This window comes from Homo sapiens, chromosome 8 (genome assembly GCF_000001405.40).
Source record: "Homo sapiens chromosome 8, GRCh38.p14 Primary Assembly".
Classification (NCBI taxonomy): domain Eukaryota; kingdom Metazoa; phylum Chordata; class Mammalia; order Primates; family Hominidae; genus Homo; species Homo sapiens.
The window spans coordinates 83346867-83366918 of record NC_000008.11 but is presented as its reverse complement, the minus strand read 5'-3'; the positions used below and the strand labels follow the sequence as shown (position 1 = coordinate 83366918).

At 35.5% G+C, this 20052-nt stretch overlaps 1 annotated feature.

Moving 5' to 3' along the window:
- Positions 5932-6435: an enhancer, noted in NCBI's record as "NANOG hESC enhancer chr8:84272719-84273222 (GRCh37/hg19 assembly coordinates)". NCBI's record gives its function as "activates a minimal SCP1, AML or CMV promoter by ChIP-STARR-seq in naive H9 embryonic stem cells {active_cell/tissue: H9 hESC(naive)}" and the evidence as "EXISTENCE:reporter gene assay evidence [ECO:0000049][PMID:30033119]".

The window sequence follows — 20052 nt, the reverse complement described above, 5'->3', positions numbered from 1 at the left end:
ATCTGAATAGGTGTCTCTGAAGCAAATTGATTATGCTCTAAATAGCTGTTCACATTTCAAAGACAAGCTAAAATATAATCTCAGCAAAAAACAAACCGTTTACATTTTCTATCCTATTACTTTGTTTGGAATAACCACACAAGTAGTCACCCTAACCTTCACTAAATTATCTTAATGGGATTCATTAACTTATTCTCGGATAAGATCTGGTGTATCATTTTTGACTGTGGAGAAGCTGGCTCAGTTTCTAACCATCTTGAAAAAATGGGCAGCTCTATCTTGTAACACCATAAATATAGCAAATATAATAGCAATCCGAAATGAAGCTTGCTGGAATTGAGTGTTAACTTCAAATCCAGTCATACCCTCCTTCATTCGTATTTACATGGTATATGGTACTTGATTACATATGAGAGTTTTGTTAATAAAGTTATTTAGAACTTAAGAACCTTGAAAAAAATAAATATTTAAAGTATATAGTGGCTCAGATTCTTTATAGAGGAAATGAATGTTTCAGCTAAGTAAATATAGTTTTAAATATAATTACATGTATAGTTTGGTGACTTGCTACACCAAGTATGATTCTCCGAGCAGCTGCTGTATTACCTTGAACTTCGTTAGAAATAAAAATTCCTGGGCTATTCTTTATTCCTCCTGAATCAGAATGAGCAGATCACACAGATAATTCCAATGCACATGAAAGTTTAAGAAGCCCTCCTTTGTTTTATTCTCAATGTATTTAGAGTTCAAAATTAAATTATATTTATCCCAAGTGCACCATTCAATTGTGTCTGTGTCCACTTAGACACAGGATGACAATAGTGGTTTCTGTTTATTTAACACTTATTAGTAGGTGTGTAGTAAGTCCTAATACATGTTGGGTTCTGGGCTAGGTGATGATTGAACAGAAATGGCCAAAACACTACTCATTCCCTGAAGGAGGTCCAAGTCCAGGGTAAGAACAAAGAGAGGAATTATTACACTTCAGTATAACAATGCTTCTTCTAAAAACATAAGAGTTGTGAAATTCACCTCCATATGGCAAAACTATTTTTAAAAGTGGTGGAAATAATTTGATAGAAATTCCTGTCTATAAATTTCCTCCAAAACCCAAATAAACAAGTCTTCTTAGAAATTTGATGAAGAGTATGTTTAGCAAATTTTACTATAATTTGAATGATACATACATTGATATCTATTGACATATAATTTAACATACATATGATAGAAATAAAAATAATGTAATATTCAATTTGTATATTCCATAAACACAGTTTACATTTACATTTTAAAGACAGAGAGATAAAGAATGAAAGGGTAATAATGAGGTCAAGGAATGGGTAAAAAGTCAACTTGAAATTCAATTCATTCTTGCAAATAATGTAAATAAATATTTTCTCACTAAATCTAATTAGAGAATATTCAAGAAGTTAACAGTGTAATAATATTTTTCTCTGCAACTGTCATTTTTAGTTATGTTGCTGACAAATCTTTGATTAATGTATAACAGGCATCCTTTTATGACCAAATATATAACATATAGGGCCAATTTATTTAATAGGACATATAGCTTAATCAGATCTAAACACAACACCTTTTAAAGACAATCACTTCTGTGAAAAACTGATGGAAAGAAAAAAAGCAATCTTCAATTCTTAATTCCACAATTCGAGACCATTAATTTTTAAAAAAATATTTTAAAGAGTTTTAACTCAGTCTTCTAACTAGGATACATTTTTAAACACTAAAATCACCATTCCCTACATTAACCGTTTAGGGAGATTTTCACTGCTGTTGTATTCAGGAAGCAATAGAATAAACTTGAAAGATTGTGCCCTCTAACAGAAGCAGATGGCCTGTCTGAGATTTTGCAGATCAGAAGTAAGTCTCATTTAAAAGCAGCCAGAAAGCAATGGATGGTATTCAAACCCTGAATGCAGGAGAAAAAACACTGTTTCTAGGGTTTATTTGATAAAATCTGTGACATTTGGGCATATGGATATGATAGAAAGAAAGAATTTTAAAGCCATCATTGAAACCTGTCCAGTTGAATTAGATGATCCATTTCCTGTAATTAAGACTAAATAGTTGGTATGTGTCATGAGCCAAATTAATACAAATTAATTCTAAAACCTTGGAAGGGACATGCCATGCTCATCTATGTAGCATGACCCTGAAGAGGACATTTGATTATGTGGGTAAGATTTCACTGTTAAAAAGAAATGTCACTCTGGCAAATGCTGAACAAGGCAAGTAAGTTTTTCAGAGGGTAAAGTGCATATTAATTAGATGTAAAGTAGCATGCTGAGGGCATCATTTAAGTGACAGCTTCCAGAAAACTCAATGGTACCCTCTTCTGTAGAAGAGTTAGTCACTTAAGGGTGAGGATACTGTTCTTCAGTAACAGCCTATTCCATTTATAATCTTACTTGCTTCCTCTGTCGTTTAAAGAATGACATAGTGAGGTTCAAATGTTCAGTCATTTTAGGTTTGTGAATTGAAGGCTGTAGAAAACAATGGTAACATTCTTCTGTATGTTTACTATAACCCACTTAGGACACATTCATAGAGGTGGGCACTTATCACAGGAAGTCAAGGCTGATCAAACTTGTCATATTGATTTATTATAATGTCTACAATCTTCATAATAATTTCAGGCTAGAAGAATATAAGGTTTATTTTTTTTTAAGAAGCTTTCCAAGATACATCAGCATAGGCTTCTCTTCATCTACTGAATTTGGATCCTAGCTTTCTCTTTTATTTTTATTTCCATTTCACCTTTCTCTTCAGGTTGCATTTTTATTTTATCTTTCTCTTATATTAATTTTCCTCTTTTCTTCCTCTGTTCTCACATGCTGTATTTAAATGTTTCTTCTCTCCATCTTTTCCTCTTATTCCCTTCTTCTACTACAACTTATATTATTTTCCCCCATCCTTTGTTTTCTTGATCTTACTTTTTTTTCTCCCCACTTCAGCTTTATTAAAATATAATGGACAGGTGAAATTGTATATATTGACAGTATCTGAGGATATTGGCAGTGTACAAGGTGATATTTTGGTATATGTATACATTGTAAAGTGATCATATAAAGTGAATTAGCATATATATCCCCTCACATAGTTATCATTGTTGTTTTGTAGTGAGAAAAATTAAGATCTAATCTCTTAGTAATTTTCAGGTATATGATACATTATTATTAATTACAGTTGCCATGCTGTATAATAATTAGAAATTATTCATTTTGCATAGCTCAAACTTTGTACTCTTTGAACAACATCTCCTCATCCTTCTCAGTCTCATGCCCTGGGAAGCCCCACTCAACTCTCTAATTCTAGGAGCTCAACCTTTTTAGATTATACATATAAGTGAGATCATGCACTATTTGTCTTTCTGTGGCTGGCTTAATTTTAATTGGCATAATATCCTTCAGATTCATTTATGTTTTTAAAAATGGGAGGATTTTTTTTTCTTGTTTAAGGCTGAACATATTACAATGTGTATGCATATTGTGTGTGTGTGTGTGTGTGTGTGTGTATATATATATATAATTTTATTTATCCATTTATCCAGTGATAGACACTTAGGTGGATTCCTTATCTTGGCGCTTAAGGACCATGCTGTGATGGACAAGAGAGTACAGATGTCTCTTTCAGATTCTGATTTCATTTCTCTTGTGTATACAACCAAAAGTGAGATTGCTGGATCATATGGTAGTTCCATTTTTTTAAATATTTTGAGGAACTTCTGTACTATATTCCATAAAATCTATACTAACTTACATTCCCACCAACAGTGAACAAGTGTTACCTTTTTCCACATCTTTCCCGACACTTGCTATCTTTTGTCTTTTTGATGGTAGCCGTTCTCACGGTTATGAGGTGTTATGAGGTGATGTCTCATTGTGATGTAATTTGCATTTCCCAGATGATTAGTCAAGTTAAGCATGTTTTTCATAAGGTTGTTGGTCATTTGTGTGTCTCCTTTTGAGAAATGTCTATTCAGTCCTTTGTCTATTTTAAAATCATGTTATTTGTTTCCTTCCTATTGAATTGTTTGCATTTCTTATATATGTCAGATATTAACTACTTACTAGATGTATTCTTGGCAAGTGTTTTCATCTATTCTGTAGGTTGTCTCTTTAATCTATTGACTGTTGATTGTTAGCTGTTTCCTTTGCTGTGTAGGAAGTTTTTTAGCTTGATATAATCCTGTTTGTCTGTTTTTGTTTTTGTTGCTTGTGCTTCTGGGGTCGTATCCAAAAATATATTTGCCCAGATCAATGTTACAAAGCTTTTATCATGCATTCCTCTAGTAGTTTTACAGTTTCAGGTTTTATGTTTAATTTTTTAATTAATTTTGAGTTGATTCCTGTGTTTAATGCAAAATAAGGGTCCAATTTCATTTTTCTGCATACAATATCCAGTTTCCCAACATCATTTATTAAAGAGACTTTCCTTACCCTGTTGTGTTTTTGATATCTTTGTTGAAAATCACTTGACTGTAAATGCATGTATATATTTCTGGGATCCCTATTCTGTGTCATTGCTCTATGTATCTGTTTTTAATGTCATGACCATGCTGTTTTGGTTACTATAAATTTGTGGTAGATTTTAAAATCAGGTAGTGTCATGCCTCTGGCTTTGCTTTTTTTTTTTTTTGCTCAAGATTGCTTTGGCTATTCAGGATCTTTTGTGGTCCCACAAGAATTTTAGGATTTTTTTTTTTTTTTTCTGTGAAAAAATTGTCATTGGAGTTTTGGTAAAGATTGCAGTGAATCTCTACCTGTAGATTGCTTTAGGTAGTATGGATATTCTTCCAATCCATGAACGTGGGTATCTTTCCAATTATTTGGTGTGTATTTGTTCAATTTCTTTCATCAATTATTCCATAGTTTATAGAGGACAGATCCTACACTGTGACTGGGAAAATGGTCCAGCTGCTCGCTGCTTGTAAAAGGAGCTAAAATAATAATGAGATATGATAAAAAGAGGAGACTTTATTATCCACACTAGCAAGGGTCAGAGTGGGTAGAAAAAATTTTCTCTCTTCAGTTGGTGGAGGAAAGACAGGGGTTTTTAAATGGAGAGTTTGAAATGCAGAAGAGGTTGTGGAGGTGGGTAGTAGGTGCCAGGCAGGGTGACTTGCTCCAGTGGTTCATCTTGAAATATTTTTCCATCTAGTGAAGGGGCCGATGCCATTGTGGGCCCCATCAAGTTACAAATTAATCACAGTCAATCTTGCAGTAAATCTGTAGCCAGGAGTGGGTTCCCACCTTGAAGTAACCTTTTGTTGTAGAAAAAATTCTGGAGGTGTCTGGTCCATAACAGTATCTGACCCCTGAAGCTTCTAAGAAAATATATGGCCAGGTACATGAGCATGGTGTGTGCTTTACAAACACCTAGGTAGATAAATGTGCATGAGGAGAATAAAGTGGGAAAGGGAAGGGAGTGGAGGAAAGAAAACAATCCAAGGCTGTAAAACACATGTGTAATTTATCTCAGAGCTACATCTTGAAACTGGGAAGAAAGGAGGAAAGGAAAAAGAAAATTTTAAGAATGCAGTTTAAGGCTTAGCAGTTTAAGCTGCTAATCTGCTTTGTTACATAACCTTCTTGGTTAAATTCATGTCTAAATATTTTACTTCTTTTTGATACTATTGTAACACCCCCTGTACTTCCACTTGTTACCACCTCCCTGCTCCTTTTTGATGTTTCTCCTTTCCCTCTTATTCCCTTATCTTCTCTCCCTCAACCATAATGATTTCTGTATCCCAATCATCTGCCTGTTTTCAGTCCCTTGATCATCAGCTGAGAAGGGTTTTAATCTTGTCTTATTGTTGTATTAGTTAAAGTTTTTCCACACAAATGTTACTATCTCTATCTATCTATCTATCTATCACAAAATCAGTAGGAGATATATATATACACACACACACACATATATACATATGTGTATGAGAAATTGCCTCATGTGATTATGGAGACTGAGGAGTCCCCAAATCTGCTGTGTGCAAACCAGCAACCCAGGAAAGCTGACAGTATGATTAAGTCCAAGGACAAAGGTCTGAGAACCTGGATAGCCAGAGAAGATGAGAGGAGATGTCCCAATTCAAGTACGCAGGCAGGAAGCAAAAGTAGAGAATTCCTCCATCCTCCACCTTTTGTTCTATTTAATCTCTCAATGGATTGGATGATGCCCAGTTTCACACATTGAGGAGTCAAGTCTACGTACTGAATCCACCCATTCAAATGCTAATCTCTTCCAAGAACACCCTCACAGACACACCCGAAATAGTGTTAAATCTGGGCACCCTGTGGCCATTCAAAATGACACATAAAAGTAACCAACACATGATCCTGCTTGGAGTTTCATTGAGTTTTAATGCATTTTTTTGCTGTTGCTTGTAAGGTGGAACTTGTTATTCTTCCAAAATTATATATTTTTATTTTGTTTTGAGTAATAGATAAAAGCAAGCTAAACTTCCTGTTCGTTCTTAAATAATTTCAGTATGATATAGGAAAATTCAAATATAAGATGATTTTTTAAGAATTGAATTAGCTGTCTTTGTTTCAATATTTCCTAAAGGTAATCAATTCATGAATAGCTACATTGCTGTAATTAGTTACATTGTATGATCTAATTTAATTAATTGAGGCAATTTCACAGTAAAATTCCTGTGCAAGACAATGATTTGGAGGTCATTTCTGGTACTTTATGCTACAAAAGTATCATTATCTATGTTCTATTATCATCCTAAATATTTCCTCCCATCAGTCAAAAAAAGCCTTTAGGCTCATAACCATGAAATTATTTCAAAGATAGGGAAACTATGCCTGACATTATCTAAATACCAATGGTGTTAGTTAATGACAACTTATCAAGTCCAAATGTAACAGACTATTAGTATATATGGAAGTGTGGCAATAAGGCATGAATTAAATATAGTTGATGATGGAGGCTTAATAAGATATGTATTTTCTTACAGTTCTGAGATTTTATGATTATTTGGTTGCCCTTCCAAATGGTGAGAGTCCAGTGACCCCACTTCAAGCAGTCAATTCATGAGTATTGATGGGTATAAATAAAGGAGGTTAAAAATCTCTGTGTGTGTGTGCGTGCATGTGTGTGTGTGTGTGTGTGTGTGTTTACATTTTATCAACTTATCAGCTGTCTCCACCCAGTATTTGAAGAAAACTGTCATTTTAATAAATACAGGAGGACACAGATAGGTAAAAAATGAAAGGAACTTTTAGAAACTCAAAAGGAGCTTTGCTGGAAAAAGACTTTGGGGACATAAAAGACAACATAAAATTAAATATCTATTCTCTTAATTCAAGTTTTTCTGATATGCCATCTCTAAAGTATTGCTTCCCACTGATTTTGTCCCTAGTTGTGCTGCTGTTCCTCTGTCACTCCAGAAAACTTGACCAGCTGAAAGAGCCTTTGCAAAATTATGACTGAGACAGTGAAAGAGATCTAATCTAACTGACTCTGTCTTTGTTCTAAACTTTAAGCTGTCCTTGTTCCTTCCTGGGCATAGGCTGGACTAACTTTAGGAGGATCTCAGTTTATAGAGTTTATAGTGTATGGTTTGAAACAAATGTAATAGTAGCCCTTTCCCAAAACAAACCTCCTTCTTTCCTGGGGACTAGACTACCTTTGTAGGACTAACAAATTAGCCACAAGATTAGACAATATGGTTTAGGAGTCATGCAGCTGGAAGCTACAAGATTCTGACCCTCCCTAGACTGCTCCTTAGATCAGTGCTTGAGATATTTGTAGACCCAGCACTTTTGTATCAGCTGTTGGATCAGCTGTCACCACCCAGATGGATAAACTGGCTCATCTGATCTTGTGGCCCCCACCCAGGAATGGACTCAGCACAAGAGGACAACTTCTACTTCCCATGATTTCATCTCCTGTCTCACTGGCTTCCCCCCACGCACCAACTTGTCCTTAAAACCTCTGATTCTCAAATGCTGGGGGAGACTGATTTGAGTAATAATAAAATTCCTGTCTCCAGCACAGAGGCTCTATGTGAATTACTTTTTCTCTACTGTAATTCCCCTGTCTTGATAAATTGGCTCTGTCTAGGTAGTGGGCAAGGTGAACCCACTGGGTGGTTACAAAGTTGGGTGCTCATCTGGGATTGCCCTTGAAGCTACCTGCCCATGGTTCAGTAGATCCCCTCCAGCGATGGTTCCAGAGACCAGCCCAAGCACCTGCCTAGTTCTCTTAGACCGGCAGCTGACTCTGGTACTCTCTACTGGTGGGGTGCTACCAACTCAATGTGCATGGATTTAATTGCAATAGAGAAATAGTCCTGAGGAGACATCCCTTTACTGTAGCCCTATCACAGGGTGTCTTTCTGTAGCCCCATGATGGAGTATCTGTCTGTAGCCCCACTGCAGGTTGTCTGGAGTGGTGAGTATCCTAGGCATTGCCAACACCTGCTTCCTTCTCCAGACTGGTTCTGTAGCCCCACAGTGGGGTATGTCAGTAGCCCCACTGTGGTGTGTCTGTTTGTAACTCTACCACGGGGTGTCTCTGTTCGGCTCCTTTTAGGGTTCTGTTTGTCTGTAGCTCCATTGAAGGTTTGTCTGTAGCCCCATGGAGGGGTGCCTGTTTCAGTTCAGCTCCTTGCGGGTCTCAGTTGGTTCTCCCTAACCAGTAGGAAGAGTCTTGGTTCAGGACGACTCTCAATCAGGAAGATGTAGGGGAGATATCTCAGGTGGAGAATAGGAGCATAGTTTGGAAGGGATATTCTTGGAATTCTTGGTTAAGGATCTGGGTTGGAAATCCTTCTGTCCATCTTGTCTTTGTGTGTGTTCGTATATGTGGAGGGGATCCCTGAAGAAATTGCTAATGGAAGTCCAGCAGCCCTAACTCAGAGAACCCTCTTTACGTGTCTGTTCACATTCGATGAGCCCTGAAGATAACTCAACAGACCTGCCTGGGGTGAGTATCTGCTCTTCATCTTGCCCAGAGACCCCACTGTGAATTGTCATCTGGAGATCATCCCTCCCGACCTGGAGTGGATCAAAGAAAAGAGGGATCAGTAAACTTTGAGCTTTGCTTGGTTGATATTGAGGGGTGAATACGGTGACTAGTATCTATTTTGTTATGTGTATTGTGTTTTGACTGGGATGGAAAATGTTAATTTGGTTCTCCATGCAGCCCATTGGGCTAAAAAATTGAAAATATTTTGTCTATGTTTCCATAAAACAGAAAAGAGTGATTTTCATTGTAAAGTGGCTTGAACCCCACAGCTATGGCACAGTGAACAGGGTCATCAAAAGCTACTCCATTATTCCAGAAGCTGGAGAGGAAGGGAACCTGGAAACCTGGTATGCTGGCAAATAGGGTAAGAAATTCTTACCAGCCAAGTTTCTGCTGTCTCTCTCTTTCTCTCTCTCTCTCTCCCCCTTTTTCTGTGTGTGTGTGTGTGTGTGTGTGTGTGTGTGTGTGTAAATGGTAAATGTCACTTTTTGTCTCCTCTGCAAGGGTTTGATTAGTAGAAAAAAGGATTCATGAGACTAGTCTTTGAGGCTATAGGAAATCTGGTGTACTTTGTGCTAAGAATTTGTCTTTCTTTATTTTTCTGTAATGGAGAGAGGAGTATCACAGGATGGAATGTGGGTTTAAGATCCCTATATAAGCCTGTTTTTCAAGCCGGCCCAGCAGGGTGATCAGTTACAAACTTTGCTGTGTGTCCCTGAAACCAATATCAGATGAAGTTTCTCTGTCTTGCTTTGTGTCTTTATGAGCTTAACCTTGTGACCATGTGGGGATACTTTCTCTTGGTTTTCACCATCCAGAGGATAGGAATTTGGGGGTTCATGTCACAGTTAAATTATCTTGAACTGTGAAAAGCCTTTGCAAGCTTGAAATTGGCTGCTCTAGGCTTCTTCCGGGAAAAGGAACAGAAACTGCTCAATGTTGTGTAGTTTAGTAGCGAAGGCTGTATCTTTTGAAAATGATGGCCCAGGTTCAATTATTGGCCTTCAGAATCATTCATTTCTGGTTTGTTATATGTGTAACTTTGACATTTATTGAGGTTTTTTCCCCCGATGGATACCTTCTGATTTTCTGTCTTGGGATTTTCCTTTCCTAAATTACCCTTGTAGATATTCTAAATCTTAAAAAGGAAGAAAGAACTTGCTTACCATCTCTTTGAGATACCTTATGCATCCATGGTTAAGTTATAACCTTAGTTAAAACTTATTAATTTCATGTGGGAAGTTACCTGTGGTAGAATTCAAAAGCCAGCAATATTGACTGTGCTGGCAAAAGTCTGGTAATAAGATATTTAAAATAACTTTTTTTTTTTTTTTTAGAAAAAAGAGCTCTGTGGTTTAAATCAGCTTAATTAAGAATGGATATCCAAGCTATATGTATTTAAGAGGCTCTAACTTTTCCCTCTTCATGATTTGTATTTTTCTGAAAAATTTTGTTTCTTCACAGTAGATTCAATTATTCTTCTCCATTTTGTCTTCTTGACATTCTTGATGCCCACAAGAGAAAACTTAAGATAAATTCTAACAGTCTGGGACTCCTTGGGAAGAACAGAGGAACCACAGACTCCATTGTGGGAAAAAACTTGGTTTTCCTCACTGAAGCCTGGAAATTGAAACAGCAATTGAAATAGATCCCTCTCAAAATCTAAGGCTCTGTTCTGCTTTGCATTGTGTTATCTGATGGTTTTGAATTTTGGGGGTATCAAAAATTACTTTGCATTAAGGGAGAGCTTTTAGCCTTGTTGTATAATATCTAGGTAAAAATATATACTTCAAGAAATGGCTAATGTCAGTTATGAAGAGATACTTAGCTCTTTGTATGCTTGAATCAGAGAAGCATGCTGTTGGCCACATGGAAGATACAGAAACATCCCCAACCACCACTGAGGGAAGATGAGACTCCCATGGGGGATAGGTGATTATAATATGGGCTGATTGGCTTTGGATAGCCTTGCAATAAAGTGCCTAGTGGAAGCACTGTACTGTCTTCTCCCATAATATTTCCCTCCTTTTGGGGATCCAGGATCCAGTATAAAATGGCACCCTTAATTTGGGGGATCAGTTTTGGCCTTCCAGCTGTGCCTCCTTATTAGGCCCCAGAAACTGGATGCTTTCCTGGCCTTACTCTTCCAAAGGCTCCACCCTGAAGCCAGTAATTCAGTTCAGAAACAGGCAAATGAAAGGCTTACAAGTGCTGAATCTTCTGTCTGTCTTTACATGTATTGTGTGTGTAATGTTTATATAAAAAGAGTTCTGATTCATTGGCTCAGAAAAATAAGTGCTTAAATCAAATATTTTATCCAAAAAATAAAAACTTTAATGTATTTTGTTCATCTGACTTAAGTAATTTTCTGAAAATAAAGACAGTTTAAAAATTGTTGGTAAAATAAATATATCTTCAAAATTTAGACATTTTGTCTAAATTAAGGTGAGATATTAGATTTGCTAAATGTTTTAAGGTAACAAACTGCTTCTTTAACTTTTAAAAATTGTTCAATTTATCAACTTTGGAGCATTAGATTCTGGATAAGGCCTGAGGATATGTGAGGCTTGCCAGGCCCCATAGCTATGCTGAAGAGAGTCAGACTTTATCTGCACTTCTGTCTGATATCCTAGGTTCCACATGAAGTACATAAGTAAAATCACTTACTTATCAGGTTTTCACCAAAAATAAAATTTGCTAAGAGTTAACATTGCGACATATAATTGAGACTACTGGAGAAACAGTTTTACATACAAGGTGTGTAAGGAAAGTGTAACATGTTTTTGGTAAAAGATTATAGGAAGGCATGGAAATATGTCTTGTGTTAAAGGGAATGTAATTTTGTGTAGTTCAGAGGGTTTTAATGATTGTCTTAACCTAAAAGAGTACCAGGACAAAACAAGGTTTAAGCAAGGTGAAAGAGGTTTATGAAGGGTTAGTCTTGTAAAGAAAGGGTTAGTCTTGTAAAGTCTGTGGATATGAACAAGTTGGCTAAGATTTAAAGGGGATTATTTAATTATTTTCCATAGGTTGAACATTAAAATAAATGCACACTATGCAGGGCCAGAATCTGGTCTGGGTTCATCTGTGCAAGTAACAGCGTTTTCTTAGAAAATTGATGTGCTGTTTGACAGAAAATTATAAAGGGTTCTAAACAGTTTATTAAAATCTTACCTTATTGTCAAATTAATTAAAACTGGATAGATATATAAAACTTTATTCAAGAACTATCATTAGCATTAAAGATGCACTCATACAAACATAAAATTTGATACCCTCTTTTGAAAAATATTTTTATATAATATTAAAAGATAATGAAAGGGTTTTGTTTGCCTCTTGTGTAAATAGCAGTAAAAAAAAGGGGAGGAGAGAGAAGAGACAGATTCATTTGGCCTCATGCTATCTTCACTGGGTCTTGTTGTTTGAAAAGCTAAGTCTCCTTTATCAATGTAAAGGTTTTTCTTTTTTTGGAGTTATCATTCTGGCCAAATAAATGACTGATGGTGACCTAGGATTCTATTTTGTAATATCTAGTGTTTTAAACATTTGATATTTGACAAACTTTCCAAAATCAAATTATGCATTATGTCTCTTTATAAACTAATCTTGTAGGTATTAGGTCCCCTGAAGTTCAAAAATGGCATGTTTGGCTTATTTTGTATAAAAATAATACAGGAAGCATTGTCAAATATGAAATGGTGTTTTGGCCTTCTTTGGACTGTATTTGTATAAATATGTTGTTAATAAGTGTTCCAAAATTATGAGAAACTCCTATAATTCTATGACTTAGTATATGTTATCAGTAATAATTTTAACTTTTATGTTAAATTATTGTGTACCACTGAGATAACAAATTTACTTGGCAATTGTATCTTTATCTGTGGCTGCTCTAATATTTTTGTAATCCATGGACAATTGTCTTCTTTTGATCCTCTTTAAATGATAGTTCTGTAATTAGCTATCAAACTCCAATAGGTGCTGTTAAATGAATGTTTCTGATTAATAACTCTGGAGAGTGTGACATTAGAATAGAGGAAAAACTTTCGAATAGAAGACTGAAGTAATTTTTTTGACTTTTTGCTTAAAACGATGCTGATCCTTTTTTGTTTTCCAAAGCTAAGAAAACTTTTCTTTTGAGCTATTTACCACTTTTAACAAATGAGTAAAATATACTCATCTGAACAAAATTTGGAGCATATTTGTTTCCCTCTACCTGATTTTTTCAGAATTTTAAAACTATTTTTGAGTATTCTCAACTTATGGCAGTATAATTATTTGCATAAGGGCAATAAGAATCTGTTTTCTTTTGTAACAGGACACAGTTGGAGAAACTGGTTGTTTTACCAAGGCTTTGACTGGAATGTCATGCTTTCTTTAAATAATCAAAGTTGACTTATTGAGCCAACAAAAGCCCCTAGGGAAATCTGCCTTCATACCTTGTCTACACCGTCCCTATTCAAGGTTCCTGACCTGTTGTAAGTAAAGAATGTAACTTTCTAACAGGCTCAAGAGCCCCAAGTTATCTTGGGACCTCAAGAGGAATTTATCCAACTCCTAGGTATTTGAGGGTACAAACCTATGGCTGGGCTCAGCTCTAAAATGTCTTACCTGAGATTCCTTATGGAACAGAGTTCCATCAAAGCCAATTTTAAAAGCTGATTTGAAAAATAATTATTCTTTATGCAAATAATCAGGCCAAGTACAATAAGACTAAAGTTTATTTTGTAAATAAATCAATTCTATTATAAGTTGTTTTTAATAAAAATGGGGATTGGAGAAAGAAAATGTAAGCTTCAAAAGAAAAGCTCTAGTACATAGGTTATTAGCTGTTCTTGAGTTTTATTTTTTTCCTGCAGTTCGGAGTCAATCCTAAATTATTTGCCAGCTACAAGTCCCCAAACTAATGTTTTCAAATCTTTACTTTTAAACTAGGAATTGCACACCTTACTCTAGTAGTCATTATTTACCTTATAGTATGCTCTTCCCTTAAATGCAGTACTAAAACTATAGATGACAATACTAAAGCCTTTGCCATGCAAGCCTTGGAACCCCAGCCAGGACTGCATGAGTATATGCAGACAGTTGCAAAGTGGTCCATGCCTCTCACCTTGGGATCAACAGCTAACCCCACTATGCCCCTTGTCAGCAGGAAGAAGCCAGAGCAATTCATAGCCCATATTCACAGCCTACACCTTAAGATTAAGGTGTTTTAAAACCCAAAAGGAGAGGTTGGAACCAACTTTGCAAAATTATCACTGAGACAGTGAAAGAGATCTAACCTAACCAACTCCATCTTGGTTCTAACCTTTAATTGTCTTTGTTCCTTTCTGGGCACAGGCTGAATTAACTTTGGGAGAAACTTAGTTTAAACTTTGTTTAAAACTAATAATATAACAACTCTTTCCCAAAACAAACCTCTTTCTTGTCTAGGGTCTAAACTGCCTTTATAGGACTAACAAATTAGCCACAAGATTAGAAATTATGGTTTGGGAACCATGAAGCTGGAAACTACAAGATTCTGACCCTCCCTAAACTGCTTCTTAGATCAGTGCTTGAGATATTTTGCAGACCCTGCACTTGACAGATCAGCTGGCACCACTCAGATTGATAAATAGGCTTATCTGATTTTGTGGCTCCCACCCAGGAAAGGAATCAGCACAAGAGGACAGCTTCAACTTCCCATCATTTCATCTCCTACCTAATCAATCAGCACTCCTGGCTCACTGGCTTCCCCCTACCCACCAAGTTTTCCTTAAAAACTCTGATCCCCTAAGGCCTGGGGAGACTGATTTGAGTAATAATAAAACTCTGGTCTCCTGTACAGCCCACTGTGCATGAATTACTCTTTCTCTATTGCAATTCCCCTGTCTTGATAAATTGGCTCTGTCTAGGCAGTGGCAAGCTGAATCTGCTGAATGGTTACACAACCTTGTCTATGGTGGATATTGAGTTTAACAGTTATAACTTTGCCACTGTGTGAAAACAGAATATTTTAGAAACAAACAGATTTGAGTTATATCCCCAGTTTTGTCTGTCATCTATTAGTTTTGATATATTAAACATGTTATTTAATTATTTGGGCCTTTGTTTTCTCATCTCAAGTCTGGAATTAGTAAAACCACATAACTCATGATAGTATTCTAGATATTAAATCACCTTAGGTAGTATTTATTTAGCAAAGTGCTATCATTTTTTAAAACAAAATGTGTTATCCCATTTAACTTTCATAACAATCCTATGACATATGTATTGGCTCATTGTTCAGGTTAATCCATTGAGTTTCAAAGGGCCTAAGCCATTCCCAAGGCTAGCGTGTCAGTGAATGGAGAAGCATATATCTGGAAGGTGGCACACTCTTCCTCAGGTTTGCCCAGTTGGAGGTTAGCAATGGTTGCCATTCTTACATAAAAATATCCATTGTAAAATTCATAATAATAAAAGTAGTTTCATGTAGACACTGTGTAGGGAGGTTCTAATGAAAGAGAGAGAACCTACTTTAACATAGCAGGGAATAATTAGCCACAAAGTAAATAGCATCTAATTCCTCTTCTGTTTCCCACTTTAATGTTTTATTTTTGAAGGAAAGCTTTAAAACTACTGATCAACAGATAAATTGACTTTATCAAAATTATAAACTTTGAAACATCGAAGGATAGTCAACGGAGTAAAAGGCAATCCACTGAATGGGAGAATACATTTGCAAATCATATATCTGATAAAGTTGATAAAGCATTGATATCAAAAATATATAAAGAACTCTTAAAACTCAACAGCAACAAAACCAAACAATCCAATTAAAAGTGAAAAATTCGAGTAGATATTTCTCAAAGAAAATATGCAAATAGCCAAAGGCACATAAAAAGATGTTCAACATCACTAAACATTAGGGAAATGCAAATCATACACACACCCAAATGAGATACACTTCACATCTATTAGGGTGGCTGTTAAAAAAGAAAGGAAAAACCAACCAACATAAACAAAATAATGAGTGGGTTAGAATGTAGAGAAATGAACTGGGATCTTTGTGCACTGCCAGCGGGAATGTAAAATGATATATCCACGGTAGTTCCTCAAATTTTTTTAATTACCATATAATCTGACAATTCTACCTCTGGATATATACCCAAAAAATTTAAATCAGGGAGCAAAAACTTGAACAGATATTTGTGCACAAATGTTCATACCAGTATTATTCACAACAGTCAAAAAGTGAAAGCAATCCAAATGTCCAATGGACAGACAAATGAATAAACAAAATGTGGTGCAAACATACAATGAAATACTAATCAGCCTTAAAAAGAAGGAAATTCTGATACATAATATAGCATGGGTAGACTTTGATAACACCATGCTAGGTGAAATAACCCAGAGACAAATAACAAATATTATATGATTTCAGTTATATGCAGTAGTAGACTAGCCAAATTTATAAAGACAGAAACTAAAATAGTGGTTCCTGGGGCTGCAGGAAGGAGATGTATTGTGTAATGGGTATACAGTTTCAGTTTGGGATGATAAAAACAGTCTAGAGATAGATAGTGATGATTATTGCATAACAATGTGAATGTACTTAACGCCACTAAACTGTAAATTTAAATGGGTTAAAATGGTAAATTTGATGTTATATGTATTGTACCACAATTTAAAAACAAACTGATATGTGAAAGATAATGTGTCTTAATTTCAAATATATGTCATGTTACATACACAGGTTCCACTTCATAAAAGGAATGATAGAAGCTTAGCTAATGCACATTTCATTACAATGGATATTTTAAAGCAGTACATAAAAATTTCCCAAAATAAAACTATTAGCTGATTTACATTTATGAATTTGTACAATTATTCTTCTGGCTAAAGCTGATTTACATTTATGAATTAAGAATAATTTATGAATTATTCTTCTAGCTGACAATAATCTAGTTCTTTCTTCAAGCATAATATACATACATACATACATTTATGTTTAGATTTCATATATAGGCTGGGTGCAGTTGCTCACGCCTGTAATCCCAGCACTTTGGGAGGACCAGGTGGATGGATCACCTGAGGTCGAGTTCAAGACCAGCCTGGCCAACATGGTGAAACAGCATCTCTACTAAAAACACAAAAATTAGCTGGGTGAGGTAACAGGGGCCTGTACTCCCAGCTTCTCGGGAGGCTGAGGCGGGAGACTCACTTGAACCCAGGAGGCGGATGTTGCAGTGAGCCAACATCATGCCATTGCACTCCAGCCTGGGTGACAAAGTGAGACTGCATCTCAAAAAGAAAAAAAAAGAACGTATGTAAGAATATAATATATATATAAAGTATCTTCTTTAGTAATAATATAATAATTAAGGCCAGCTTTAGTCTTGAAAAACATTTTCATCATAAAAATAACAAGCAAACTCAAAAGATAATTTAAACTCTTTGAATATCATGACCAGGAAATATTTTATTCCAAAAATATGCTGACATATTTTATTCCCTCTTGATTCAATTAATTCAACATTTCTCATCTAAATTATAATAAAAATCTTTCAAGTTTTCTTCCAGAAAAAAATAATTCATATATATTATAGAATAAAGGGAGCAAATTTTCCCCAGGTATCTGGAATATTAGTAGTAGTATAATACTTATATAATGTAATAATTATTCAAATGTAATGGTTCTGTCTACTTTACAGGGGTCTTAATCATATTATATCTCTTTGATCTTGGTCTTCAACACAGCACTATAGGATGATAAGGGAGTTATAATAATGAGATATGAAATATAAAGAATTTTAACCTTTTCAAATTTGATTAAATTTATTTCCTTAATCATACAATAAATATATGGAAATTCATGTTATTCTTTCAATAGCAGTTCCAACTTGAACATGCATTCTTAGAATTGGCCTAGCAAACTCTGTTCATGAACAAATACTTCTTAGCTTGATGACAGTAACATACAATTTAATGGATTTGCTTCTGTAGGTTGGGTTTCCAGAGAAGCAAACTGTGATAGAGATTACTGTGCAAAGTGTATTAAGGAATATTCTTGGGTTCAATACCTGTGAATGAAAAACTAACAAACAAACAAACAAACAAGCAAACAGCATTGGGCAGGGAGAAGTTGGGCTGTAGTATAGTCTCAACAAATTCCTACACAAACTTCATAAGAGCTTCTGGAATTTTCCCAAGTCAGAGAGCGGTGTCAGACCTTTACGTAGTTTAACAACTGATAATTTGATGCATATTTCCCTGCGAATGTGGTGGGAGCATAGACCTGAGGAATTTTCTCAGCCCAATCATTTCCAAAGCTAAGATCTGAGGGCCGTCTGGCGGCAACAATGCAAGTAGCAGAAAAAAGACATTTTTGTTACTGAAGGAACATCTGGGCAGCACATCACAGCAACCACTATTGCGTTTTTCCACATAACATTCTGATTTGTTCTTGATAACTCTACCAGATAGCCAGGGCAAGTATTATCCAAAGTTAAGAATAGGAATTTAAGGCAAGGAGTTTATTTATTTTATTAAATACAAAATTAGCTTACACAACATTAGAAAGAAAGATAATGCAAAAGCATTCACATATTGACACTAATTTGTGATATATGTAGGAATGATTTAGCATAGTTTGATGCTAAGAAAAAAAGCCACATAGAAAACCAAAGTAGAAAAAAAAATCTCATCAATTTCTGATGATTGATTAGGGAAGCTCAAATCTCTTGCTGTAATTCAGAATCATCTCTAGCTAATATTTGCATTTAAATGTTACAATGTCACTTAATATGAAGTAATTAAGCTGGAAGGCAGCATAGAAATTTTTCTTTGTCTAATATTTTTCTATGTTTTTGGTGCATTTTCTTATACTACAACTTCAGACGGGCTCCTGCTGAGAAATGAAGGTAGACACAGCAGTAGATCATGTTTTTGACAAGCCTAAACTTGGTGACCCATGCACAATATACTTACCTGCTGCCTTTTTGCAACATCTTGACAAGGTCATCATGCATTAAAAGGAAACATTCAGGCTGTAACACCCTAATGCTTACTTTTCTTAAAGAAAGTGTGCGAAAAGGTATAATTTTAACACATCACCATCATTTCTGACTACATAGTAGGCAGTTTTGTTCATTATAAGTGTACTTCTTGCACGTAAATACATCAGTCAGAAAGTAAAGTGTTCCAAGTAATAGCCAGCTACAACTTTGAAAGATGAATTTGTTGACCTCTAAGTATCATTGTGGCTTAGAACTAAACCAGGTGTTTTCAAGCGTGTTTAGTAGTGGAACCCTTTCATTAAGCACAGATTGAAAATGGAGTTGTTGGGTATATATATAGATATAGCTCCAGGGCTTGGAGGCCAGCTAGCTTGTTCCTCCTTCCACCTCAATCATAACTAAGGCTTTAATCTCAGAGGACCCCAAAGATACTATAAGGTAAAATTGGGAAAACCTCTTACTTATTGTCAAATTTTAGAAAGTATCAGGGTACTACAATAGCTATGTATCTAACCCTACAATGACACATTTTGAACATCTATTTTAGCACCTAACACTGTATAAGACTAGCTTACACATGTATACTGTCTACCTGCCTATATTTTAAATCAGAATTGTGTGTTTTTGTTCTCTGTCTATATATCACTCTCCACATTACCTGAATATAAGTTTGGCACAGTTGCATTGGATTGAACAGAGCAAACTAATAAATATAACCTTAACATGGTCATAAAATCCTTCATAGCAAACAATATTTCTGCATTAGTATTCCATTTGTAAAATCCTAATACTTACGTGAAAAGAATATGAGCCAAAAGCTGTAATTCCTGTACATCAGAATCTTTTCTGATTAGCTAATCTTTTTTTCTTGGCCTACAAAGTCTACTGTCTGACTAGGGGTGCAATTTCCTCAAGGTTATATTTCAGACAAAGACATCCTGGATAAATGGCATATGACAGTGAAGAGGAAAATAAGGATGTACTTTAAATCACAACATAGTACTTATTTTGGATAGAACAGTCTCAGGCTTGCCTCTTGGCAAGCAGAGTGGAGCTTGGAGAATTCACCCTATTC